The sequence below is a fragment of the Homo sapiens genome, chromosome 10 (genome assembly GCF_000001405.40).
Source record: "Homo sapiens chromosome 10, GRCh38.p14 Primary Assembly".
In the NCBI taxonomy this organism is placed as follows: domain Eukaryota; kingdom Metazoa; phylum Chordata; class Mammalia; order Primates; family Hominidae; genus Homo; species Homo sapiens.
The window spans coordinates 5,690,608-5,718,607 of NC_000010.11; the positions used below are offsets into that span (position 1 = coordinate 5,690,608).

The window sequence follows — 28,000 nt, forward strand, 5'->3', positions numbered from 1 at the left end:
ATGTAATAATCAAGAGTACCCAAAAGTGGGTCTTGAAATATAATTGTTTCTGAGAGGAACTTATTCTCAGGATATTTTTGTAAGAGGGACAAAACTACTTAACAGTGTGTATCCTTGCAATAAGTATATTAATGAATACGATACAACCATTTTATACAGGCAAAAGATGGTTTAATGCCAAAGCACAAACTCATAAACCCAGTTGATGAGGAGCCAGAACAATGGTCATTACTGTATAGAGATGTTTTAAAAAGTCACCATATAAGCTTTGAAATAATTCTAATGAAAATTATATGACCTTGAGGCTGGGCGCGGTGGCTCATGCCTGTAATCCCAGCACTTTGGGAGGCCGAGGTGGGTGGATCACAAGGTCAGGAGATCGAGACCATCCTGGCCAACATGGTGAAACCCTGTCACTACTAAAATACAAAAAATTAGCCGGGCATGATGGTGCATGCCTGTAGTCCCAGCTTCTTGGGAGGCTGAGGTGGGGGAATCGCTTGAACCTGGGAGGCAGAGATTGCAGCGAGCCGAGATCACGCCACTGCACTCCAGCCTGACGACAGAGTGAGACTCCGTCTCAAAAAAAAAAAAAAAGAAAGTTATATGATCTTGAATATAAAAAGTATGGTCTCTAAAGAATTTGTTGTTGTTTTTACATAATGTAGGAGGAAAAAAATTGTGGTGTTTATAAGCATCAGCCTGATTACCAAAAATACTTTTTGTGGTAGACTGGATTTTGAGAATGTTAAAACAATCTTCAAAAATTGAATATTAAATCCAAAAATAAGCAAGCCACAGCTAAATGAAAAAGTCATAGTACATAGGTGTAATACACTTTACTCAAGGGGTGTAATTCCAAAAAAAAAGTTTTTAAAAAAGGTAATTTGTCTCCTACTGGATATACTAAATACCTTAGTGAATTTTTTATTTTGAATAGCTCTTTGTTAATCTACATAATTGTTTATGAATTTAACTTGCTTTATAAGTTCAAATTATCCTATATGCTATACAACACACTAATGGTAATGATGAATAAGATCTACTAATTAGGCTTTCTTCTGGGCAATGCATGTGGGTATCTTAGATTGCTTAGTTAAAACATAATGAGTAAAGATGTCCTTAGATCAGGCCAAACACTTCATCTTCCCCCTGCACCTCCGTTTGATTAAATTTTTCGTAAATTTTGTTAGGGCTGCATGGCTTATTGGGAAGGGACCTCATCCCTACCCCAGGCATTGGTATCAATTTTCCTGAAGCTATGTGAAGTATTAAAAAACCATATTCAGGCCTGGCATGTTGGCTCACGCCTGTAATCTGAGCATTTAGAGAGACAGAGGCGGGCTGATCAGTTGAGGTCAGGAGTTTGAGACCAGCCAGGTTAACACGGTGAAACGCCTTTACTAAAAATACAAAAATTAGCTAGGCGTGGCGGCCCATACCTGTAATTCCAGCTACTCAGAAGGCTGAGGCAGGGGAATCGCTTGAAACCAGGAGGCAGAGGTTGCAGTGAGCCCAGATTGTGCCACTGCACTCTGTCTCAAAAAAAAAAAAAAAGCCATATTCATTATGACTTTTTAATTTTGTGACATGTATAAATACATTTTTTATTATCTACATAGTAAATTTAAAAAGCTGCATCAAACTGTAGCCGGTGAGGCTGCATAAATGATGTGGGACGAAGAGTTATAATAACTTGAGATCACTGTAGTGAAAAGAACGTGTATTTTAGATTAGACCTGAGATTGATAGATATCCTTACTAGGGGCTTGCGGGTAGGACACTTAAGGAAATTGGAGCTTGGAGTGAGCTTTGTAAAATAATACTAAAACCATCCTCCTAGTGGGGTTACTGTGTGACGTCCAAGAACTCGGGGGCAGTTGGCTTGCTGTCCTGTGCTCCGTTCTGACGACTGAGCCCGCCCAGGTCTGCAGGGTCCTGGGGTCCTGCGGGTTCTGTAGGGTTCCCTGGTGTGTGGAGTCCCTACCCGCTACAAGCTCCGTTGGGTCTACGGAGTGTGCGGGGATCTCCCAGCCCTGTTGGCTGTACGGGCTCAGTGGGGTTTGCAGGGATCCCCTCGTTCTGTGGGGTCCGTGGGCGCCGAGTCAGGGCCATGCCCCTGGGCTCCGCTCGCGGAGCCGGCGTCGCCCTTGTTGACTTTCAAAAGGCGCCGCCGGCCCCGCGCCCTACACGCTCAGCACGCCCTGCGCGGAGTTCCCCGCTCTGGCGCACTGGCCTTGGCTGGCGGGAGGGGGCCGGAGGGGCTGCCGGCGGAGCAGAGACACAGCCACCCTCCCCAACACACCATGAGGTGAGTCGGGGAGGGGCCTAGGTCTCCCACATGCTGTTGTGGGAAGCTCTGACCCCCGCTGTGCCTGGGGCGGGCTCACCCACGGAGGTGACTGTTAATACAGCGCTGAGTGCGAAGGAGACCCGAGAAAATGGGCCTATTCTGTCTAGTAACGTTTTACCTTCTGGTGAGGGTGTGGGGAGAGAAGCTTTGGCAGGGTCAGTGAGGCCCCGCAGCAGAGCCCTGGTGATGAAAGACACTTTTGTATGGTACCCGAAGGCTTAACTTCACTCCTGATTGTGAGTGGATTGTGTGTGGTAGTGGTGGAGCCCTTGCAGAACCGCCAGAGAGACGGTGCTAGTTGTGTGTGTGCCTATGTAAACCTACAATAGCTAAGGTCATCTTTTGAAATGTAGAACAGGGATTGCACATTGACTTTGCGCTTCAAGTATTTGCAGGTTATTACCTTAGTTTTTACTCCCTTTGTGCGTGCCGTGATTATCTTGGTTTAAACTCGTATGTGGCAAGAAATTTTTTAATGAATGTTTAAGTTTCTGTGAAAATTGTGTATTTCTCAAATTGTATTTTTTGGCTTTTAATAGGGTCACTTTGTTTTCTGGGTCTCTGTTTTGACTTACGGGAAATGCTATTTGTTTTCTCTACATTTTCTTCATTTAAAAAAAACCTGTAACTTCAGGAGTTCAAGACCAACCTGGGCAACCTCATCCCTGGAGGAGGGGGGAACCCCCACAAAACCACAACTATAACTGGCTGCTACTTAGGACTACAGGAGATCTTTTTTCCAAAGTGGAAATAGCTTTATTTCACCCAGATTATGTTTATTTAAAATTTCAGATAATATATAAAGCTGTAAAAAGTAAAGCAAAAACTACCTGTACTTGTCCCATCCAAAGATAACTTCATAGAATATTTGATTATCTACTGTGGTGCTAGGAGCTCTGTTGGACCCTGGGGACTTTGGTGAACAGACAATGCCTGCCTCTATAAACCTTACATTCTGCTGGGGAAAATAGACCTCTCCCAACCCACCAAAAAGTAAATTTATAATAATTCCATGTTCTAATGCTTTAAAGAAAACACTTGCAGCAGGGTAATCCGAGGTTTATCTGAGTGGATGACTTAAATAGATGTCACTAAAGGAACAGAAAGAGCTCAACCATGGGAGGAATGGGGAGAAAAAAAAAAGAATTCTGGTCAGAAATAACAGCATGCACAAAGGCCTTAAAAGAGGAAAAAGCTATAAAAAGAAAAATCCATGTAGCTGCCACTCAGTAGTAAGTCAGGGAAAAGTAGAGCAAGATGAGGTATAGGAAATTGGCAGGGACCAAATTTTACTTGTCCATGGCCAGGAGGGTGTGTTTTGTGTTCTGAGGGCAGTGAGAGGGTACTGAGGGGCTTTAATTAGAAATAAAGTGATCTGGAAAACTAATTGATTAATTTGTTAAGTAAATATTTATTGAAACCCTACTGTATAACAGGCACTGTTCTGAGCACTGGCATACAACAATGAAAAGGACAAAGCCCTGTATTCATGAAACTAATCTAGTGGTTGGAGGACAATCAGATAAACAAGAAAAAATACCAGATATTGATAAGTGTGCAGAAGATGACCATTGTTTAAATTGTGGTTTATATTCTTTAAGATATGGTATATTACACATATACTTCTTTTGGAACTTTCTCCTGAATAATTTATGGTAGGACATTTTTCACTGTTACTAAATAGTTTTCTTTGGGGGCATCTTAATTTGTTTTTGGATTAAGTATGGTAAAAAATAGCATGCATAAATGAAGAAATACTGTGCAGCAACAAAAATTTGCATGTTACAAAGCATCTGGTGAACGTTATATAGTAACTTCCTTTTGACAGTCTGACATGTGGCTCTCCTACCCCCATCCCAGACCCCAGCTGCCCCTTTGTGGTTTTTTATTTTGACCTATTAGTATGGTTAAATTTATGGATTTACTATTTATTGAACCATTTTTGCATCTTGGAATGAGCCCTAATTGATCTGTTATTATTTTAATGTCCTGATGGATTTACTTTGCCAATGCATATATTTAGGATTTTTATATCAATATTCATAAGAGATCAGTCTATAGTTGTTGTTTTTTAATGTGTTTTGTCTAGTTTTGGTATTCGCATCTGATTGCTTTGTAAAAACAATTGAGAAGTTTCATTTCTTTTTCTGAGTTTCGGAACAGATTAAATAGCCAAGTATTATTTATTCTTCAGTTACCAAATTCATATTTACTAAACACTATGTGCTAGGAATTGGACTGGATGCTGAGTAATCAGTAGTAAACAAAACAGATATGGTTCCTGCCGTGATATTGCTTGGCTCATTAAGGAAAATGACATTAATGAAGAAACTACACATATGTAATTATAAATCATGCAAGAAAAGGACAGGATGCTTTGAGATAATATCATTGAAGATCTTTAGATTGTGCTTTTTATGCATTTGAGTAAATGACTATTGAGTACATACATATACACTAACAGCTAATTATTTAAATTAGTATGTATTGATTTGGTGTGTAATTAGGGCTGTGGTGGGTGCATTAGTAAAATGAGGTCTTCATAATTACACAAAATATAAAATAATGGCAATAGTAGCTACCATTGTAGGAGGTAGCTGCATCATTTTTTAATGGTAGAAATTAAGACAGGTTAAGTAGACACTTTTAGTCTAACATGTTCAATTGTATACACTCTTTGGAAGTCTCTCTTAAGATTATAGTAAAAGAATAAGGATATAAATCCACAAAGATCAAGAGGAGGTGAGAGGAAGATATAGCTGAAATCAGTATTTGGGAAACTAGAAAGGAGATGGGCAAGTAATAAATGATTTCATGAATTAGAGAATGCTGAAAGCTGAAGAGAGGTAACCCAGCAAGGAGCAAGCAGATTCTTTCCACAGAATCTGGAAAAGTTTTAGGAATTGGGGGTATCAAGTACAGGACTTCTGAAGTCAAGAATTACAGGATGGGGTGGGAATAGAAGGGTTGGTTGATGGTCTTTATCATTTTGATACCCTGGAACCCCTTCTCCACTCCCACACACCCAGACAACTACTCTCTCCTCTACCTTGACGGAAGACTGAAGGTTTATACCCAGGAGACTAGGAGGCTCCAGATGGTTAAGGTGGGGGTGAAGCACCTAAATGAAAATGAGGATTGAGTGAAAGTCAGGTCAACATGCTGAACCTAGAGCGGTTGTCTTTTTTTGATTGGCTTCCAAACTATCAGGCTTACGTGCCCCTCAACAAAACATTAACGGATTCTTAGCTGGGGAAACTTACCAGCCCATGGCACAGTATTTAACAGATATGAACTATGGAAATTCACCCGATTGAACAGTTGGATCCATCAGATCACCTGGAGAGTACAGCCGCTGGTCAGGAAGCATTGTTCACGTACCACAGCTTCTAGTCAACTTTTATTTCATTTTTTGAGACAGGGCCTCACTCTGTCACCCAGATTGAAGTGCAGTAGCGCCATCATAACTCACTATAGCGTTGAACTCCTGGGCTCAAGCCATCCTCCCACCTCAGCCTCCTGGGTAGCCGGGAATACAGGCGTATGCCCCCACGTCCAGCTGATATTTTTATTTTTTGTAGAGATGGGGTCTCACTATGTTGCCAGGCTGGTCTTCAACTCCTGGGCTTGTGATCTTCCTGCCTTGGCTTCCCAAAGTACTGGGATTACAGGTGTGAGCCACTGGTGCCTGGCCCTAGTCAGCTTTTAAATGCCTCACATTTGAGTATAAATGTACAGCCAAGGGTCGCCTGCCATAGAATGAAAGTCTCTAATGAAAAAGAGACCAAGTAGGAAATAAAAGGAGCTGAGTATAAATAGATTTACTTCAGGGAACAGAAGAAACTTCAACAAATAAAACTAGTATCTTTAAAGAGAAGATATTACATCTGTGAAAGATGAAAAAGTTTATATAAAAAAAACTGCTGCGACAGAAGAAATTTCTTAAAAATTTAATACAAGGTTTAGATAATAAAGCTGAAGAATTCTCCCCAAAAAACCAGAAGAGCACAAGAATTAGAAAATAAGAGTGAAATGATGAGAAAATTAGAGGGCCAACCAAGGAGGTTCTTCATCTAATACAGTGGAAGGAAACTATCTGTGTCCCAGAACTGAAGAAGGTGACTTTCTAGGTTGAAAGGGCCTATTAAGCGCCCTGATCAATAAAACAGAAACAAACAAAAAATAAACAAAACTTCATTGTACCGAATGTATAGTTCCAAAAGGAACAAGACCAGATTGATTTTCTTCCTACTTCTGAAAAGAAGAATGGGGGCAGAGAACGAGGTGCTAGCTCTTAAACTGCATTTTAACAAATTCAGGGAAAAAGGAAACCTTAACTTTAAATTGTATGCAAGTGCTGTTAGGTATCCCCAGTGGGAAGTTCCAACAGTTCTGTGACAAAGATAAAGTTGCGCAGAAGAAGCATATTTCAGGTATCTCCAGCAACTTATTCATATCCAGAATCAGCCCTATCCAAAGAGAGAAGTCTCGTATACCTGGCTAAGACTGAGGAGCCATATGGTATCAAGGAAGGAGAAAGCAGAATGAGAAAGTGCCTGGGTGGGGCATGGGGGAGGCAGAGATCTTAGTGCTAATAAAGTACTCCTAGAAATGAGTGCATAACCTTGGAAAGCAAGGGTTGTGTCTCTAAGAGGCAAGCAGAGCTGGCAATAAAGGCCCTCCTGAACCAGATTACATTTGGAGATTAGATAAGGAACAAGGCACCATATTATAAAACAGCAGTCCTCTGATTTAGGAACAGAGGGAACCCTAAAGAAACATGACAAGTGCCCTACCCCTCCCTACACCCTGAATCTTCTGATAACAGTCCAGGATAATTCATCTCATTCAGACATGTATAACAAAAATAGTATGTACAGCATCCATACAGTGACTGTCTGGTAGATGGTATTTTTTATGTTTTATGTTGGTTTTTTGTTCTTTTATATTATTTTTATTATTGAAGATATAATTCACATGCCATAAAATTCACCATTTTAAAGTGTACAGTTGACTGGCTTTTAATTTATTCCCAAGGTTGTGCAATGATCACCACTACCAATTGCATTATTGACCCTAGTGCTTTACTTTTCCTTATGTTCACTCCATGACCCTATGCAGTTCCTTTCATTAAAGTGACAGAGATATTTCCCTACTCCTTGACTTTGTGTTTGGCTATGTGACTTGCTAAGGTAAAAGTGATAACATATCAGTTTCAAGCCTAAGCCTTAAGAGGCCTTGGGTATTTTTATTTGTTCTCTTTCTATCTGTGCCATTTCCATGAGAAAAACATGTCTCTGCTAGCTCATTGGTTGAGGGAAGATGAGAGATAGGAGAGTGAGGGCCACCCCAGCTGAGTTAAGCTGAATTCAATGAACACTGTAGAGATGTGAGTGATAAAAAAATGATTGTGGTTGTAAGCCAGTGAACTTCAGGATGGTCTGTTAATAAACATTAGTTAACCGAACAGTTATATGATTAAAAATAAAAAAAGAGAGAGAAAAACCACAATTTTCTACAGACGATATTTTTCAAAACAATATTAGCAGAAAATAAATCACAAGTGGTCAAGCTACTGCCTGTGGTCTTGCCTATTTTTGTAAATAAAGTTATATGGGGACATGGTCATTCCTATTTATGCATTTTCTATGGCTGTTTTTATGCTCTACCGGTAGAGATGAGTAGTTGTGACAGAGACCGTGTGGTTCATAATCCTAAAGTATTTATTTTCTGACCCTTTATGAAAAAGTTTGCTGACCTTTTGAAGTAGATGGAAAATGTGACCTAAGGTTTTAATACAAATTTTAAAATAAATTTATATACCACATCATACCCATTAAGATAGCTGTAATCAAAAAGACAGATAATAACAAGTGTTGGTAATGCTGTGAAAAAATTGGAACCTTCTGTATACTGCTGGTGGGAATATAAAATGGTGCAGCCACTTTGAAATCAGCCTGGCAGTTTCTCAGATGAGCAGACACAGATTTACTGGAAGAGCAAGCCATTCTACTCTAAGGTATATACGTAAGAGAAATGAAAACATGTTCACATAAAAACTTATACATGAATGCTCATAGCATAATTATTCATAATAGCCAAAATGTAGAAACAACCCAAATGTGCATCAGTTGATGGATAAACAAAATGTAGTATATCCACAAAGTGGAATATTATTTGGCATAAAAAGGTATGAAATATTGATATATGCTTTAACATGGATGAACTTCAAAAACAGGCTAAGTGAAAGAAGCCAATCATGAAGGACCGCGTGCTGTATGACTCTGTTTATAGGAAATGGTCTGGAATAGGCAAATCTGTAGAGACCGAAAGTAAATTATGGTTTCCTAGGCCTAGGAACCAGTGAGGGGTGAGGAGGATAGCTAAGGGGTAGAAGGTTTCTTTGGGGATAATGAAAATACTCTAAAATTGATTGTGGTGAAGGTTGCACAATTCTGTGGATATACTAAGCACAATTCTGTGGATATACTAAAAGCAATTGAATTGTACACTTTATGTGGGTGAATTGTATGCCGTATGAATTATATCTCAACATTGTATTAGAAAATAAAATTAATGAAGCATAGAAGTTACGGAGAACTACTGGAAAGAAGAAATACAAGAACTCAAGGAAGAGACAGCCAGACAACAGTAGAGTGTGAAATGGGAACCAGCAGAAAAAAAGAAATAGAGAAAAATGATCAAGCCATTTCAGAAGTACACAAGGGAGACTAGACACCATGGCAAAGATCATAAAAGTAGAAATGAAATTTTATGGTAAGTATATTTTACCACAATTTTGATAATGCAAAGAAAGAAAACAAAAGATAGACAGGAGAAAAATGAGTAAAACAGGTACACATTTATTTTTATTGATGCGTAATAGATGTACACAGTTTTAGGATACATGTGATAATACAGTCATATAATTTGTAGAGATCAAGTCAGTGTAGTTGGGTCATCTGTTACCTTAAATATTTCTCTTTTCTTTGTGCTAGAACCACTCAAATTCTATTCATTTTGAAATATATAATAGATTGTAAACTACAGTCAACCTACTGATCTAACACTAGGTCTTCTATCAAACCATATATTTATACCCATTAATCAACTTCTCTTTATTCCTTCCTTCCTCCTACCCTTTCCAGCCTCTCATAACCACCAAATCTACTCTCTATTTTCATGAAATCCACTTTTGTAGCTTCCACATATGAGTGAGAGTATGTGATATTTGTCTCTGTGTGCTTGGCTTATTTCACTTAACATAAAGACCTACAGTTGCATCAGTGTTGCTGAAAATAGCAGGATTTTATTTTTTTTTTATGGCTGAATAATATTGCATTGTGTATACTACATTTTCTTTATTCATCTGTTGATGGACACTGAGGTTGATTTTATATTTTGGCTGTTGTGAATAGTGTTGCAGTAAATACGGGAGTGCAGATGTCTTTTTGATATGTTGATTTTCTTTCTTTTGGATATATACCCAGTAGTGGAATTGCTGGATCATATGGTAGTTCTGTTTTTATTTTTTTGAGAAAGCTCTGTACTCTTTTCCATAGTGGCTGTACTAACTTAAATTTCTACCAGCAGTGTATAAGGGTTCCCCCTTCTCCATATCTTCGCCGGCATTCATTATTGCTTGTCCTTTTAGTAAAAGCCATTTTAACTGGGGCGAGATGATGTCTCGTAGTTTTGATTTGCTTTTCTCTGATCATTCATGATGTTGAGGATTTTTTCATACACCTCTTGGCCATTTTTATGTCTTCTTTTGAAAAATGTTTATTCAGATCTTTTGCCTGTTTTTTAATTGGATTATTTGTGGGGGTGTGTCTGTGTGTGTGTGTGTGTGTGTTTGCTTGCTTGCTTGCTTGCTTCCTTGCTGTTGAGTTGTTTGAGCTCCTTATATATTCTGGTTGTTAATCTTTTGGCGGGTGAGTAGTTTGCAAATATTTTCTCCCATTCTGTGGGTTGTCTCTTTACTTCATTGTTTCCTTTGCTGTGCAGAAGCTTTTTTTTTAGCTTGATGTAATCCCATTTGTCTATTTTTGCTTTGGTTGCCTGTGCCTTTGAGGCCTTAAACAAAAAAAGTTTGGCCAGACTAGTATCCTGGAGTGTTTTCCCAGTGTTTTCTTCTGGTAGTTTCATAGTTTTGGGTCTTAGATGCTTAGATGTAAGTCTTAAATCCATTTTGATTTGAATTTTGTATATGGTCAGATTGTTTTGTTCTTCTGCATGTAGTTATCCAGTTTTCCCACCACCGTTTATCAAAGAGACTGTCCTTTTCCCATTGTATGTTTTAGCTCCTTTGTCGATGATGAGTTGGCTCTATATGGATTTACACCTGGGTTCCCTGTTCTGTTCCTTTGGTCTGTGTTTTGTTTTTATGCCAGTGCTGTAGCTTTGTAGTAAATTTTGAAGTCAGGTAGTGTGATGCCTCCAGCTTTGTTGTTTTTGCTTAGTATTGGTTTGGCTATTCAGGATCTTTTGTGGTTCCATATACATTTTAGGATTTGTTTTCTATTTCTGTGAAGAAGAATGTCATTGGAATTTTGATAGGGATTGATTGCATTGAATCTGTAAATTGGCTTTGGGTAGTATTCAACAATATGAATTCTTCCAGTCCCTGAGCATAGAGTATCTTTCTATTTTTTAATGTCCACTTCAATTTCTTTCATCATTGTTTTATAGTTTTTCTTGTATAGATCTTTCACTTCTTTGGCTAAATTGATTCCTAGGTATGTTATATTCTTTGTAGCTATTGTAAATGGGATTGCTTTCTTGATTTCTTTTTCAGATTGCTTGCAGTTGGTGTATACCAACGCTACCGATTTTTGTATGTTGATTTTGTATCCTGCAACTTTACTGAATTTGTTTATCAGTTCTAACAATTTTTTTGGTGGAGTCCAGGTTTTTCTAAGTATAAGATCACGTTATCTGTGAACAGGCTTATTTGACTTCTTCTTTTCTGATTTGGATGCCCTCTATTTCTTTCTCTTGCCTAATTGCTCTGCCCAGTACTTCCAGTACTATATTGAATAAAAGTGGTGAAAGTAGGCATCCTTGTCTTGTTCCATATCTTAGAGGAAGGGCTTTCAATTGTTCCTTGTTCAGGATGATGTTTGCTATTGGTTTGTCATATATGGCCTTTATTACTTGAGATACGTTCCTTCCATACCCAGTTTGATGAGGGTTTTTTAAAATCATAAACAGATGTTAAATCTTATTAAATGCGTTTTCAGCATCTGTTGAAGTAATCATGGTTTTTGTTCTTAGTTCTGTTAATATATCACATTTATTGATTTGCACATGTTGGACCATCCTTGCATCCCTGGGATGAATCCCACTTGATCATGGCAAATATCTTTTTACTGTGTTTTTAAATTTGATTTACTAGTATATTGAGAATTTTTGCATCTATGTTTATCTGTGATATTGGCCTGTAGTTTTCTCTTCATTGTCTCCTCTGGTGTTAGTATCAGAGTAATGTTGACCTTGTAGAATGAGTTTGGAAATATTTCCTCCTCTTCAATTTTTTGAAGAGTTCAAATAGAAATTTATATTAGTTCCTCTTTAAATGTTTGGTAGAATCCAGCAGTGAAGCTATAAGGTCTTGGGCTTTTCTTTAATGGAAGAGTTTTTATTATAGCTTTGATCTCATTACTAAAATGGTCATTTTTTTTTTTTTTTTTTTTTTTTTTGGTAAGTAAGGATAGATACGACAGCCAAAAGAGATCCAAAACGGGCAAAACTGGAGCCCCAAAAAAGAAAACCGATTCCGTAGAATACATAATTTAAAGTATAATTTAAGATGTTTCTTTTCCTTAAAGAAAGGACTTAAATCTATTGAAAAGACACAACATGCTCCAGGGAAAACTGGCGCAACATTGAGACATATTCTGGTAAAAAATTTCAACTGGCAAAAGATCATATAAAGAAAATCAGGTTGGTGCAGAATAACAGAAACATTCAATACCAGAAAATAGTAGAGGAACTACATGTCAGCTACTCAAAGAACATGTGAGCCAAATATTTTTTTGTGCTGCCAAGGTGTCCTTTGGGTATAAAGACTATGTACTGGCTGGTAGTTTTAAACATTCAGGGTTTTACATCTTTTTATATGAGCCTTTCTTGAGGAAACATCTAGAAGACAGATACCAGCTAATCAGTAAATGAAAAAGGAAACTTCAGCAAAGGAATGAACTGCTAAATTCTCAATAATTAACTAGAAGATCATATTAGGGATCATAGTCTTCCTAATTTTAAAGGGAGTACTTTAATGTCTCACCATTATATATATAGGCTGCTTTCTAGATATCTGTTTATCAGGTAATCTATTTACTATGAATTCTCTTTTTAGTCACAAGTGGCTGTTGAATTTTATGTCTAATAAGGCATAGGTTTTTTTAAATCTCTCAGTATGATTAATTTTATGAATAAATTGTCTAATGTTACACCTTCCTTCCTTGAATTCCTGGCATAAGCTTTATCTCAATCATGTTGTTTTATATTTTATATATATTGCTAGTTTAGGTTTTTCTGATTTTTTTTTTTTTTTTTTTTGAGACAGTCTCACTCTGTCACCCAGGCTGGAGTGCAGTGGCACAATCTCGGCTCACTGCAAGCTCCGCCTCCCGGGTTCATGCCATTCTCCTGCCTCAGCCTCCCGAGTATCTGGGACTACAGGCGCCCGCCACCACGCCCGGCTAATTTTTTGTATTTTTAGTAGAGACGGGGTTTCACTGTGTTAGCCACGATGGTCTCGATCTCCTGACCTCGTGATCCGCCCGCCTCTGCCTCCCAAAGTGCGGGATTACAGGCGTGAGCCACCGCGCCCGGCCTCTGATGTTTTTATTTAAGATTTTTTTGCATGTGTTGTCATTGGTGATGTTACCTTAAAATGTTCTTTTATAGTTGTTCCTTTCTGGGTTTTCATTCAAGGTTGTGCTAGACTTATAATTTGAGAAAGTTTTCATTCTTGGCCAGGCGTGGTGGCTCACACCTGTAATCCCAGCACTTTGGGGGGCCCAGGTGGGTGGATCCACCTGAGGTCAGGAGTTTGAGACCAGCCTGGCCAAGATGGTGAAACCCCATCTCTACTAAAAATACAAAAATTAGCTGGGCCTGGTAGTGGGCGCCTGTCATCCCAGTTACTCGGGAGGCTGAGGCAGGAGAATCACTTGAACCTGGGAGGCGAAAGTTGCCGTGAGCCGAGATCACACCATTGCACTCCAGCCTGGGTGACAGAGTGAGACTCCATCTCAAAAAAAAAAAAAAAGAAAGTTTTTATTCTTGAGAATAATGTTTATGTGGGAAAACTTCTGGGCTTGAGACTTACATACCTATAACAACTAACTCTACCACTTATTTAATAGTTGTAGGTATATTCTGTTTTCTTAAGTAGGTTTTGATAAATTATTTCTGGAAAATTCCCCTGTTTTCTCTATGATTTCAATTTTTTCTATAAAAATTGTTTCTATTACCCTTATAATTTATAGTACATATAAATCACACTCCTTTTTATTTGTAATGTTGGTTTTCAGTGCCTTGTTTTGTCCTTGATTAATTTGACTAAAGATATATCAATATTTTTTGTCAAAAAGCTAATCTTTTTTCAGCTATTTTTTCTTCGGTTTAATTAATATCTGATCTTCTCTTTTTATTTCCTCCTCTTATTTGCTTTGGGTTTACTGTGTTGTTCCATTTTCTGAGTTCTTGAATTGACCGTAGCTTATTGATTCTTTAAATGTTTTTCTTTTGTAGTGTATACATTTGAAATGAACAGTTTCTTATAGCTATTTTAGATAATATCTTAAGCTTAGATCATGTTACTCTTTAACTTATGAACCATTTATATGTAGGATTTTTAAAATTTAAATTTCCAAACATGAGGCTTTTGAGATTAACTTTTTATGGTTACATTGTCATTTTACTTGATTTTGGTCAGAGATCAGTTGTTTTTTAGTACTCTTGGAATTTCCTTTGTGGCCAAATTCATAACCATTAGGTTTTGTTTTGGGGCTTTCAGCTCAACTTCATTGAGGTCTAATTTTCATACAATAAAATGAACATAATTTAAGTATATAGTTCAGTGAATTTTGGTAAATGTATATACCATGTGATGACTACACCAATAAAAATAGTGTGTGTCCATCACCCCAGAAAGTTCCCTTGTGCATACCCCACTTGTAGTCAATTTTCCTATTCCTGCCCCCTGCTGTAGGCAACTAATGAAATGCTTTTTATCACTATAGATTAATTTTGCTGCTTCTTGAACTGTATATGTATAGAATTTTACAGTATGTACTCTTGTGTCTGATGACTTTTGCCCAGTTTAATGTTTTGAGATGCATGCATATATCAGTTTTACTTTTTTTAATTGCTGATTATTATTATGTGTGAATATACAAGTTTATCCATTCACCTATTGATGAATATTGGAGTTGCTTCCAGTTTTAGGCTACTGTGAAAAAGCTGCTCTGAACATTCATGTGCAAGTGTTTTTGTGGATATGTTTTATTCTCTTGGGTAAATATCTAGGAATAGAATTTTGGGTCATATGGTAAGTATGTGTTTATAAGAAACTGATGTTATTTTTTAAATTGGCTATATAATTTTTCAGTTGGCTTTATATTTCTACTAGGAGTGTTCCAGAGGCTCCTCATCCTTGCCAACGCTTGGTATTTTCAGTCTTTTTAGCCATTCTACTGGAGCAGTAGTATTTTATTGTGGTTTTAATTAGCACTTCCCTGATAACTAATAATATTGACCCATTTCCCATGTTTCTTTTTATTATATGCTTTATTTTGTGAAATGTGTCTATGAGTTTTTTATATATTCTAGGTACAGGTACTTTACAAATATTTCCCATTTCTTAATAATGATACCTTGGAAGATCAGATGGTTTTAATTTTTAGGAAGTCTGATGTATACATTTTTCTAGGTCACTAATTTTGTGCCCTATGAAAACTTTATGTACCCCATAGTCAAGTACATTTTTTCCTATGATTTTTTAAATTTTATAATTTTAGCCAAATAGTTATAGTTTTTATGTTTAGGTCTGTGATTCATTTTGAGTTAAATTTTATGGTTTAAGGTAGAGGTTTGAGGTTCATGTTTTTTTCCTCCGTTTTAGTTGTTCTGTAGCAGCATTTATTGCAAAGATATTCTTTCTCAATGGAATTATACTGGCAATATTGAAAATCTGTTATCTGGACTCTATTCTGTTCCATTGATCTATATGCATTTTCTTTGTATCATTACCACCTTGTCTTGACTACTTTAGCTTTGTAGTAATTCTCAAAATCAGGTAGTGAGTCCTTCAGCTTTGTTCTTTTTCAAAATTGTTTTGGCTTATATCTTTCTTATATAAATTTTAGAATCAGATCATCAGTTTCTGCAAACTGAGATTGTGTTGAATCTGTAGATCAATTTTGTGTCTTAACATCCCCCAGCAAAGTTAGAAAGCCAGGCAGTAATATCAGAGGGCACAAGCCCAGATTGAAGCTGGAAGACATAGTGCTCCAGAAAGGTCCTTCCAAAAAAAAGAAAAGAAGCTGCTCAAAACAGACAAAATCTTTGATCTATCTTTATCCAGAGGATATTGTTAGTTCTCTAGAATTTCAAGCTGAAATAATGATTGGTAACTGAAAATTAAGCTATTTTAAATTCAGAAAAGCAAAACACGGTATAAGGAAAGAACTTGACTACACAGTATGGCTCAGCAATGATTAATACATACAGTTAAGTAGTGAAACCTAGGCCTAGCACGGTGGCTCATGCCTGTAATTCCAGCACTTTGGGAGGCCGAGGTATGCAGATCACTTGAGGCCAGGAGTTCGAGACCAACCTGGCTAACATGGTGAAATCCCATCTCTACTAAAAATACAAAAATTAGCCGGGCATGTTGCTGGGCACTTGTAATCCCAGCTACACGGGAGGCCGAGGCAAGAGAGTTGCTTGAACCCGGGAGGTGGAGGTTGCAGTGAACCAGAATCAAGCCACTTACGCTCCAGCCTGGGCCACGGAGCAAGACTCCGTCTCAAAAAAAAAAAAGTAAGCACCCAACAAATGTTAGCCATTGTTATCATTAATAACAATAGCTTCCTTGCTAACAAATACTAGGATAACGTCTCTATCCATGGCAGCAAAGAAAAAAGGAATTTGCTAAGTTATCTGATGCCAGTGCACCATGCCTCATGCACAGCAAGCCTTCAGTAAAGTTCCTTGTAGAGTCACAACTGAAAGGAGCTTTAGAAAGGCAATTATAACTAAAGGAGGCCTTAGAGAGTATAAATTTAACAAAATCCATCAGTTAGTATGTCTTCAGCTTCCAATAAAAGTTTAAACAATAAGGAACATTTATTATTTCATGTATAAAGCCCAAAGATGAGGCAGCCCCCAGGTTAGTTTATTTCATCAGTTCAGGGATCTAGTTTCTTTCTGTTCTGTTCCGTTCTATGTTGGCTGCCATCTTGGTTGCAAGGAGATCCAGGCAACACATCTTCAGACAAGATCCTAGGCTAGAAGATGGAGTCCTTTTCTAAGAAAGGTTTCCCAGAACTCTCTCTGTAGACTTCCATTTATATCTCACTGGCCAGAACTGAGTCACATGTTTATTCCTAAAACAAACACTATTCAAAGGGAGTGGAATTACCATAATGATCTTAGAGTAATTAAGATTCTCATTCTCTTTCTCTCTCTCTCTCTCTCTGTCTCCCCCCCCAACCCCACACACACACATACTCACTCTCCCTCACTCATTTTCACACACACACACACACACACACACACACACACACACACACACACACACTTCTTCTGAACCATGGGATAACCTGATACCTGAACAAAATTGTGGTTTTATGGAAGGGAAGTAAAAGGGACATGATTGTTGGGAAGTCAATCCAATGTGTCTTTAACCACTGTCTCAAAACACATTAGTGGTAGCACCTAGTGAGTTCAATAGGTAGACCAGAACCCTGGTCTCCCTATTCCTAATTTTCCCCTACATAAACAACCTCCTTCATGAATTATTATCAACATAGCTACTTTTCCTAAAAAATTTTGAATGTATCCACACAATTCTACCTCCAGTTCTTTTTGGGGGGAAAATGTGCTGTAAAACTATACATGCTGTTTTTGTGAAGCATATGAAAATCCTTATTCCACAGACTCATGATAAAAACTGAAAACTTGACCACCTTTGTAATCTTTTTCTTCGTTCTTATTCTTCTCTCCCTTCTTCCCTTAATCAGTCATATTAAACTATTTGCAGTTCCTTTAATGTATCATGTTTAAACCGCTGTTCATTTGCTCATACTATTTCTGCTATCTAGAAAATGTACACTAGTTTCCTTTTTTGGCTTCCTCATTGGAATATCTTCCAGATTTCAAGTATCTGTGCCTCCATGAAATCTTTCTTGACATAGCTCCATCTCCATAAAATTGGTTGTATCACTGTACATCCACTATATCATGTTTTAGATACTCCTACACATTTATAGTACTAATTTCTTTGCAGATTTTTCTTCCTTGTCTATTCTGAGCTAACTTGCTTGCTTTCTCTTTCTTTCCTTTCTTTCTCTTTCTTTCTTTCTTTTTCTTTCTTTCTCTCCTTTTCTCTCTCTTTCTCTATCTCTTCCTTCCTCCCTCCCTCCCTCCCTCCCTTCCTCCCTTCCTTCCTTCCTTCCTTCCTTTCCTTCCTTTCTTCCTTCCTTCCTTTCCTTCCTTTCTTTCCTTTCCTCTCTTTCTCTCTTTCTGACATGGTCTGGCTCTGTTACCCAGGCTGGAGTTCAGGGGTGCAATCTCAGCTCACTGCAACTTCTTCCCCCCAGACTCAAGCCATCGTCCCACCTCAGCCTCCAAAGTAGCTGGGACTACAGGTGCACTCCACCATGCCTGGCTAATTTTTGTATTTTTTATAGAGGTGGGGTCTCACTTTGTTGCCCTGGCTGGTCTCAAGCTCCTGAGTTCAAACAATCTGCCTGCCTTAGCTTCCCGGCGTGCTGGGATTACAGGCATGAGCCACCTCGCCCAGCCTAATCTGAACTTTTTTAATGTAGAGCCTGTTTCCCTGTAATAGAGACTGTTTGCCATTTGTCTTGATAAATCCAAGATTTAGCATGATATTGGATGCATAATAGTCACCACTAATAGTTTTGTTTAATGAATATATATACAACTAATTTGGGGGAGGAGAGAGATTTTTGTAAATTGTGTTCTGCTTGATTCCGTTATTTTCAACTAGTGGAATAAAGATGTGGTTCTGTGATCTCTTCATTTTGAAAGATTTTTTTTCAGTAAGGCAAAAGCGATTAAGCATAATATATTTCTGTGTACAAAATTTTCTTTAGAAGTTAAAGACTTTTGGAGGAAAAACATTTCAGATTATGTGTTATAGCTTATAGAACAAATTAAGTCCTTAGCTGAGAATACTTGTCAAAGGAGGTAAATAAATATTACATAATTATTCCTAATACAAATTACTCAGCGAACATTTGTTTCTATAGTAAATATGCTATAAATAGAATTGTTCACTTTATGATTTTTTTTCTTTCTTCATTTTAGCATTTATGACATTAACAGAGAACAGGACTATGTCAAGAATTCTGAGGGTATACTTGGTGAAAATGAATTAAGACCACCCTCCCAGCTACATTCTCTCTTAGAGAAGATCGAGACAGGGTCCCTATCAGAAAAGAGTGGGTATTAAACTAAGTGCTATAAGTCATAACTAATGAATCCAGAATAGAATGATTAAAATGTTTTTAGTTTTAATTTAGATCATGTAAAACAAAAAGACTTTAAAAAATTATGATTTCCAGTACCTATATTTTTTAAAATAATCATTAGTCCAAAAGTAATAGGTGATTAACTTTTCAAATTGCAACATAAAACACGTATGTTCCTCTGTTGTGATTGAATTTAACCTTTCTCACATGCTCTTTATTCATCACTTAAGCCCTAAGGGATATACTTAATGCTTTATAGGCAAGCACTTTTCAAGTTTTACCGTCTTAGATTTTTAGGTTTCTTTGTGGTATAGCCCCCTCTTCATTTTCATAGTCTGGTAATCTTGAATGTTTAAATAAAGCTTGAGCATTGCTCAGCAGTTATGAGACCATTCATTCATAAAGTGTTTGTATTGTTTGGTGCACTGATTGGACTCTCAAATGAAAGTGTATTTTGTAAAGAAGGGAGAGCGTCAAATTTCTAGATGAAATTTTCATCTGTCTCCTCATTTACTGAACAGGAAACTTGTGCTTTCTTGAGAGTGTAATTGATGTCATTATGAACCCATGAAAGATTTAAGATTAGCTATGATTTTCCAACAACTTTGTTTTTAACATACCTCTGCTAACCATAAAATCACTGCTTTTATGCATATACTGCTATATATTGAAGAATACTGGCCTAAAGTGGAAGCATTTTTAACCATAAATAAATAGTTCTGGAAATAAAAATATATATAAGCAAAAAATAATTTGGTACTTGTTCCTCCTCCTTCGTTTTAAATCATTGGCTTTATTTATAGCTATATAGGGAACAGTATTCCCCACACTGGTGTTAATGAAGTGTTCTCTGACCATGTATTTGGGAAACCCTGTATTAGTGTTTTTAATTGCACCATCTCTTCAGTTTTCAGTTCATTATTGTGCATTATGATGCTCAAAAATGAGGACGTATGTAACTTAAATCTGTGCCTACCTATTAATGACTTACAGAATTTAGAGAAGTTGATAATCACAGTCTTCATTTCCAGAGTTACTTTTTAAAATATTTCTTTCAGTGTAAACAATGTGTTTCTCAAATATTGGTCTATAGGTAATTCAATTTTGAAACTTTCTTGCTTTTTTATAAATATCAAATATAAAGTTCCCAAAATTATTGTTTCTAAAGAAATCTTGATTTGTGTTTAGGCTAGCAGTACAGATTATTTGTAAAATGAATTTGAAAATGCTCAGGTTTGCCAGTTTGTTTTGAGTAATGCAGCTAATAAAGCTTTAATTTTAACTCTTATAACTGGTGTTTTGCTATTTGCATCTATTCAGAATATCCCTATTTTTTAAAGCACTGGTATATTGAAGGAGAAAGTGAAACTGAGCAAAAGTAAAAGTAAAACTTAGAATGAATATATAAATCATGTATATCAACTTCAGAATATTCGTAAACATTTCATTCTTTTCTATTTACAGTCTTTCATTTTGATACTTGGAAGTTTATTAAAAGATTTTTTAAATGCCTTGATAATTAAAGTATTAGGACAATTTAGTCTAAATTTAGCTTACTAAAATGTTTGCTTTCATTTCTGAGATAGTCTAGTTTTTGTATATTGGTTACTTACAAGTTAGTTTTAATTGAGATTCTTTTTTCTCTTTAATTTTTGAACTTTAATACATTTGGCAGTTTTGGTAAAAGTAGGAAGCCATATTACTGTACTTCATAACATTTATACTATATGACCAGTACTTCCAGTGCTATATAAATCATTCTCTTCTCCTTATTGTTTATAAATACTAGGTTTGTAAAACCCCCCAACCTTAATAAAGAGAATAGAAAGAGTACAAATAGGAGAGTGAACAGTTAAAATGGTTAGATGCAAGAGTGTCCGTAGGTCATTAGGCTCAGTTCTTGCTAAAGTAGAGACTTGTAAAATCAAAAGGCACAAAGAGTCAGTCAACATAATTACTGGATCCAGTCGGTAATTCTCAATTAGGAAACGTGCCTCTCATGGGAAGGGTGTATCACAGTCCCTCAAAGCTATCTCACATGGGTATGGTTTGAAAAAAGCACCTTCAAAAAATTGTAAGTACAGCTCTGTTGTATAAAATGAAAGAAAGTGATTTTATAATACAACTCACAGGAAGTAAAACTCAATAGACTCTTCTTGACGGGTGAGGAAATCCCAGAGATACAATGATTTCTATTGTGTCTGGTGAGTGGGCAATAGTAGGTCCCTTAAAAGGGACCTAGCTGACTTAGGGATTTAATGAAAATATGTAAAGAGTAAGTTTATCAAGTGTGGCGTATATATTTAAAAAAAAAAGAATAGAAACAAAGGATGAAAAAAACTAAAGAATGAGAAATTGCTCTAAAAGTCTAAGCAGCTCCTGACCACCACCTTGACACTACAGTTGTATCCACTTTTGACCAACTACAGTTATAGTACACAGCTTTCAACCAAAAGACATACCAGGTCTGGCAGGACATATTTTAGCTCCTGTACTAAAAGTAATTCAGCTTCAGTTCTAATTTATTTAGGTTATTTTCTTTACATCAGAGGTCTTTTAAATTTTGTTAAGACAGTACAAATATTTCTTAGTTATATAGGAAAGGAATAGGTGATGTTTTGAGTGATATTCAGTGTGTCTCCCTTAACCCCATCCTTTGGAATCTTAAATAGCTGCGTTATTTTTGTTTGTGTTTTACAGTTTTTGAGACAGTGTCCTTGAGTTCAGACTCTCTCTTCCAGAGGGCAGTTTCACTCCTCCATACTTCTTACTTGGACTCTTCATCTGAGCATGGTTTTCAGTACAGTCAAGTGACTTTGGTGAAAAATGACATTTTCTTAAATGAGGTGAGGTGCTTGGTACACACTATGATGGTTTTGTTTTAGTTTTAAAAGAGGTAAACCCATCATTTTTGGTATATAAGCCTAGCACTTTTTAGCTATAATTTTTCAGACGCAGCAGATCCTTGGAAATAGTCACTTGGAAGGTAATTATTCTAGGGAATAGAAAAATAATGCATTTATGTTTAGTCTTAATGGCAGGAAGAATTCAAATGATGCATTTTTAAAAATTTGCAAGACAAAATAGTATGTTTATAGCGTTTGGTTATTCTGTTCTCTCTTTATACAGTACAAAACTTTTTACCAACAAAAAAAAGCAAGTAGTTATACTCAGGAAGAACTTCAAGACACTTACGGGTTTCTTCTGTTTGATACTGAAAAGCAGGTAAGGGAATTAGGTTGTAGAAAATTAATGGTATCATTAGTCTTAAGTATTGTGGTACTTCAGTTCTGTAAGAGTTGTAAGATTACCAATTCATCAGTGTTTTTTGTTGCTTAGTTTGGTGGCATGTAAATGACAGCAACAAAAAAGCCAGTCATGAAGGAGATTTGATTTGATTTCTACAACTTTTCACGGTTTCTCTTTAGTTTTATCTGAAATACATTTGTAAGCTTAGGGTGCAATTTGGATTAAAACAGTTTTCTTTAGTGTCAATAATGGCCTTTACTAGAGTGAATGGATATTTTTCCATTCTGGATTATCGTTTAATCGAAACTTTGTTTCCTGTGGAAATTTTTCTGGTTTAAGTTATTTGATTTGGGAGATAAATCATGTAACTTAATAAACTTTGGCATCCTGGTTAACTGAAATTGCTTCATTCAATATTTGAAGACTGAAATCTGTATTGTTGCCTGTACCTAAATTATGGGAGAAGGAAAGGACCGTGTACAGGGTAGGTCTCCAAAGATATGTATGGCTTCCGAGATACATTTTAAACAATACCAGAGATCTAAAATAATTCAAAGTTAGTGCTTCGATTAGGTTAATGGTTTATAAAGAAGGGGGGCAGATTTGTTTAGCGGATAATTAGCACTAACATATAATAAGGACTATATAGTAATACCAGAAGAGTTTATCCCTTTTGAAATTTAATCGTCTGAATTCAAATAACACGCTCTGGGTTCTTACTAAAAATGACATTTGGCAACAAGACATTTTGAAATTTCATGCTTCTAAAGCTGTAGTTGGAAAATAAATCTTCTAGTGGACTTACCTGTGACCCTGCTTAGTTTGGTTTTCCTGACATTTTTGTTGATTGAAATGGTAAAATTCTATGAAAAGTTTGGGCCATTAATCAAAATACAGATTGCTTTGCATAAGTTTTCTTTGTGCCCCGAATACCTACAGTGAGCAGACTATTTATTTTAAAGCTTATGGATTAGGCCAGATGCAGTTGTGCCTCATGCCTGTAATCTCAGCATTTTGGGAGGCTGAGGTGGGAGGATTGCTTGAGCCCAGGAATTTGAGATCAGCCTGGGCAATATAGTGAGACCTTGTCTCTATTGTATAATAAAAAATAAAATTAAAAAAAAAAACCTTACAGATTATAGCATTTTTTCATTGCTTCAAAGACTGAAGCAAAGTAATCTTTTGTTTAAAGGCAAAATTGGTATGTCAGTGTGGACTCCGTGTTGGCAGCAGTGCTGTTACCACTCTGGGTGATCCAGCCAAAGGTAAGTCCGTAAAGCAAAAAGAATCTTAAAAAAAAATCTTCTTTTACAAGATGAAGTGAGGTTTCATTAGTTTTATAAGATATGTATATTAAAAGCCAGTTTCATTAAATGTCAAACAGTTCATAATGTTTAGATTTCTAACTTTAAACATATGAATGAGATTTGAGTCTAAAACTTAACAGTATTTTTCAGTGTCAAGAGATTGGTATTGTCTTGAGAATCTCTTCTAAATTGTCACAATGGCAATAAGAATAGAAAATAGAGCTGACCGAACTTGGCAACTATGGAATGTGAGGGGTAAGAGAGGAAATAATCAAATATAAGCTTTTAAACTTACACTACAGTGATAATTATTAATAGAAAAGAGGTACATAAGAAGAGAAGCAGATTGGTAGAGAAGCTGATGAGTTAAAAATAAAAATATTATCTAATTGTCAAGAACAATGAATTAGCACTAACTTTTTTGAAGATTCAGTTTCTTCATGTGTAAAACAGATTAAACTACTTTATAGAGTTGTTGAGAGGATTCAGTGAGACTGGAAAGTGTTTAGCCCAGGAGTTTGCACCTAGTAAGTTCTCAGTAAATGGACAGTACTACTTTTATGAGTTGAATTTGAGAAAAAGTGAGATTTTCATAAGTGTTTCTGAAAGATAGCCTATAGGTCATAAATATAGTTGGGAAAGGGATCAGAACTAGATTTGGGGCTAGGGTTGTGGGAGTGGGGTGTGAATTGAAGCTAAGACATTGTTAGTGGGATGGCATGGAAAGAGAAGATGGCAAAAACAGAACTTTTGGGTCATTAATGGGACCAGGGTGTGGGGAGGTACAGCGAGGATAGAACGAGGAATTGTCAAGAGCAGTCTGTTACCTGGAGACTTAGGAAATAGAGTTTCACGGAAAGCAGAAAGATCTCACGAAGAGGGGTATTTTTTATTAGTGCCAGGTGCTATGTAGAATGTGGAGATCAGAACTGAGAAAGATTATCGGGCTTCATGGCTAGATTCCTGCTGACCTTTTTTTTTTTTAAAAAAAAACTGCTTTATTGAGATATAATTCACAATTATAGAATTCACCCATTGTTTAGTGTAGTCCCATAGTTGGGTAACCATCATAACAGTCAATTTTAGACCATTTTTTTCACCCAAAAAAGAAATCCCATGGCCATTAGCAGTGACTCCCCATTCTCTACCATCTCTGCTCTAGGCAACCACCAGTCTATTTTCTGCCTTTATAGATTTGTCTATTCTAGACATTTCATATAAGTGGAATCATATCATATATGGTATTTTTTGAGTAACTTCTTTTAGCATGTTTTTAAGGCATATTGTAGCATGAACCAGTAGTACTTCATTCCTTTTTATGATTGAATAATACAGTCCTGCAGCACTTAACAATGGGGATACATTCCAAGAATTGCATTGGTAGGCAGTTTTGGTTTTTTTTTTGGTGGCGGGGTACGGAGTTTCGCTCTGTCACCAGGCTGGAGTGCAATGGCGCAATCTCAGCTCTCTGCAACCTTCGACTCCTTGGTTCAAGTGATTCTCCTGCCTCAGCCTCCTGAGTAGCTGAGATTACAGGCACACATCACCATGCATAACTAATTTTTGTATTTTTAGTAGCGACTGGGTTTCACCATGTTGGCCAGGATGGTCTCGATCTCCTGACCTCATGGTCAGCCCTCCTTGGCCTCCCAAAGTGCTGGGATTACAGGTGTGAGCTACCCTGCCTGGCCGCAATTTTTTACTCATGTGAACATCACAGAGCGTACTTAGAGACACCTAGAGGGCATAGCCTACTACACACCTAGGCTGTATGGTGTAGCCTATTGCCCCTAGGCTACAAACCTGTACAGCAGGTTACTGTACGGAATACTTCAGGCAGTTATAAAATAGTGGTGTGTGTTTGTGTATCAAAACAGAAAAAGTACAGTAAAAATATGGTATTACAAACTTACGGGATCACTGTCCAAACTTTATGCAGTCTGTTGTTGACCAAAATGTTATATTATACAATGGTGTATTCTGTTATGTGGCCATACCATATTTTCTTTATCCATTCATCAATTCATGGACATACGGGTTATTTCTACTTTTGGGCTATTATGAATAATGGTCCTATGAACATACATGTACAAGTTTTTGGGTGGACATAATTATATATATCTTCGATATATAATGAGTGGAACCACTGGGTCATATGATAACTATAAAACAAAAAAATTTAAAGTTTACATTCAACTCATCTTCTAAGGGACGTTAAAAGTGATAAATTCATAACGCTGATAACACTGCATACAGCTTTTTTTCTTCTCTCCTATTTTTTCACCCCACCCTCATTTCATTATGAAAAATTCAGACATAAAAGTAAAGAGCATACCATAATATACCTACCACCGAAGTTTAGCAGATAATATTATACATTATTGGCTGGGTACGGTGGCTCATGCCTGTAATCGTAGCTCTTTTGGAGGCCACGGCAGGTGTATCCCTTGAGGCCAGGAGTTCCAGACCAGCCTGACCAACATGGCCAAACCCCGTCTCTACTAAAAATACAAAAATTAGCCAGGCATGGTGGCATGCACCTGTAATCCCAGCTACTCAGGTGGCCAAGACTCGAGAGTTGCTTGAACTTGGGAGGCAGAGGTTGCAGTGAGCCGAGATCAACAGAGCGAGACTGTCTCTAAATATAAATGTATATAAATATAAATATATATATATATAAATATAAACATACACATTGCATTATTTGCTTCATTTGTTTAATTTTTTTTCTGGAGAATCTGAAAGTAAATTACAAATAACCACTGCAGCTTACATCTCAAAAAAAAAAAAAAAAAAGACGTTTTCCTACATTGCTACAATCTTACGATTTCATTGCTGATGTTTGAGAGGCTGGCTTCAGTAGAGTGGTGGAAGTAGAAACTGGATTTTTCCTGACAAATACACATTCTTCAAAAACACATACACTGGGGTTGATAGTAAAATTAACACTACTACTTGTATGTCTTTTGTAATTTTTGGCTTGACTAGAACTGGATAATTTTGTGTATAATAATACTTTCAATTAATAATAGTTTTTAAAGCTTATTGATCTTTTATATCTTCATGAGCACCCTGTGGTCTTTGTGTCTGTGACCCAGGCCCACCCTCCCTACCTGAGTGACTTATTCTTACCTGGAACCCAAGCTTCTGACCACAGAATTAGCGCTCTCTTCCACTGTATCAGTTTTCTCACTCATTGTCTCTTATGTTTCGAAAGAGTTGCCTCAGTTGAGGAATAGCCCTGAAGCCTGTCCTTTCTTCCTCGTTTTTCACTGCTGCTGCCTTGTTGGAATCCTCCTCTCCTGTCTCAACTATCACAGTAGCTTTCTTTCTAATTGGTCTTCTTGCTTCTACTTTCTCCTGTCTGATGGGCAATCTGCTGCTTAATCTATATTTTATACTTTTACAGGTGTATACATTTCCAAATACTCCGACTGTCTTCATTCAAGACCATGGTATCATGGGAAATCTGGTTATGTTGTAATTTTTAATATAATTAAGGTAAAGCTTAAATGTGCTGTTACGTGATTTCCTTTTAAAGTTTAAGGTTATCTACCTTTGATATTCTCTGTAGATATTAGTTGAACATAGTTCTCACCAAAGTTAGCTATCCAAATTCAGGAAAAGCAAAACTATTTTTCCTTTTCTTTAAAAAGAAAACTTTGATTCATTTACTAGATTGTAAACTTTTTTTTAACTTCAAAAATAATAAAAGGGTATGCAGGGAAAAATCTTCCTCTCACCTGTCAGAGCTACTTTTTAAATATGAAATAAGAGAAAACAAGTAGCTGCTTATAAGGTGATGTGATTACACTTATAAAAGATGAATTTAGAAAACAACATTCATTGTCTAATTTAAATGGTCAATAGAATCTTTATTTTCTTTCTCCATAAGACATCCAGCTTCACAGCTTCATGTGCTACCTAGAACTGATGATGCCACAAATCCTTAAATGTCCTAAATGGTACTGTTAAGTGAATCGTGCAATTAGAATTTTCACCCAAACAGAAGGGAAACTGATTTTAGATGTGATTGGGCTTCTTGAGGACATTTCTGTGGTCTCGTTTTATTGTTTTTTTTTTTAGCTTTGTTACTATCTTAAATTCTTTGGTTATCAGCCTAGCACTAAATGACCTTTAATTAAAAAAAAAAAAAAAACAAGAGCCTGTGAATTCTTAATATTGTAAAGTTTGTTCTCAAAAAAGCGGAGGGAGAGGCCAGGCTCTGTGGCTCATGCCTGTAATCCCAGCACTTTGGGAGGCCGAGGCGGGTGGATCACCTGAGGTCAGGAGTTTGAGACCAGCCTAGCCAACATGGCGAAACCCTGTCTCCACTTTTTATACTAAAAGTATAAAAA

The 28,000-nt window shown here is 36.8% G+C and overlaps 1 protein-coding gene across 5 annotated transcripts in view, besides 1 other annotated feature; it reads left to right on the forward strand.

The window, feature by feature from the left end:
- TASOR2 (transcription activation suppressor family member 2) overlaps positions 1 to 28,000 on the forward strand; it is a 78,903-nt gene that overhangs the window by 5,770 nt on the left and 45,133 nt on the right. For 2 of the 5 annotated variants that reach the window (NM_001321783.2, NM_001321785.2), the window contains exons 2-4: positions 22,216 to 22,311; positions 23,528 to 23,600; positions 27,052 to 27,143. Coding sequence is in view for 1 of the 5 variants with exons in the window: in NM_001387328.1 (NP_001374257.1) it covers positions 2,307 to 2,311; positions 18,923 to 19,056; positions 21,787 to 21,932; positions 22,216 to 22,311; positions 23,528 to 23,600; positions 27,052 to 27,143 (546 nt within the window). In the remaining 4 variants the exon portion in view is untranslated. Of the gene's footprint in view, positions 1 to 2,190; positions 2,312 to 18,922; positions 19,057 to 21,786; positions 21,933 to 22,215; positions 22,312 to 23,527; positions 23,601 to 27,051; positions 27,144 to 28,000 lie in introns of those variants that run through there. The other 3 variants (NM_001387328.1, NM_001321784.2, NM_017782.5) reach the window with 3 other exon arrangements.
- Positions 2,057 to 2,286: a silencer, noted in NCBI's record as "silent region_2085". NCBI's record gives its function as "represses an Ori minimal core promoter by ATAC-STARR-seq in GM12878 lymphoblastoid cells {active_cell/tissue: GM12878}" and the evidence as "EXISTENCE:reporter gene assay evidence [ECO:0000049][PMID:35858748]".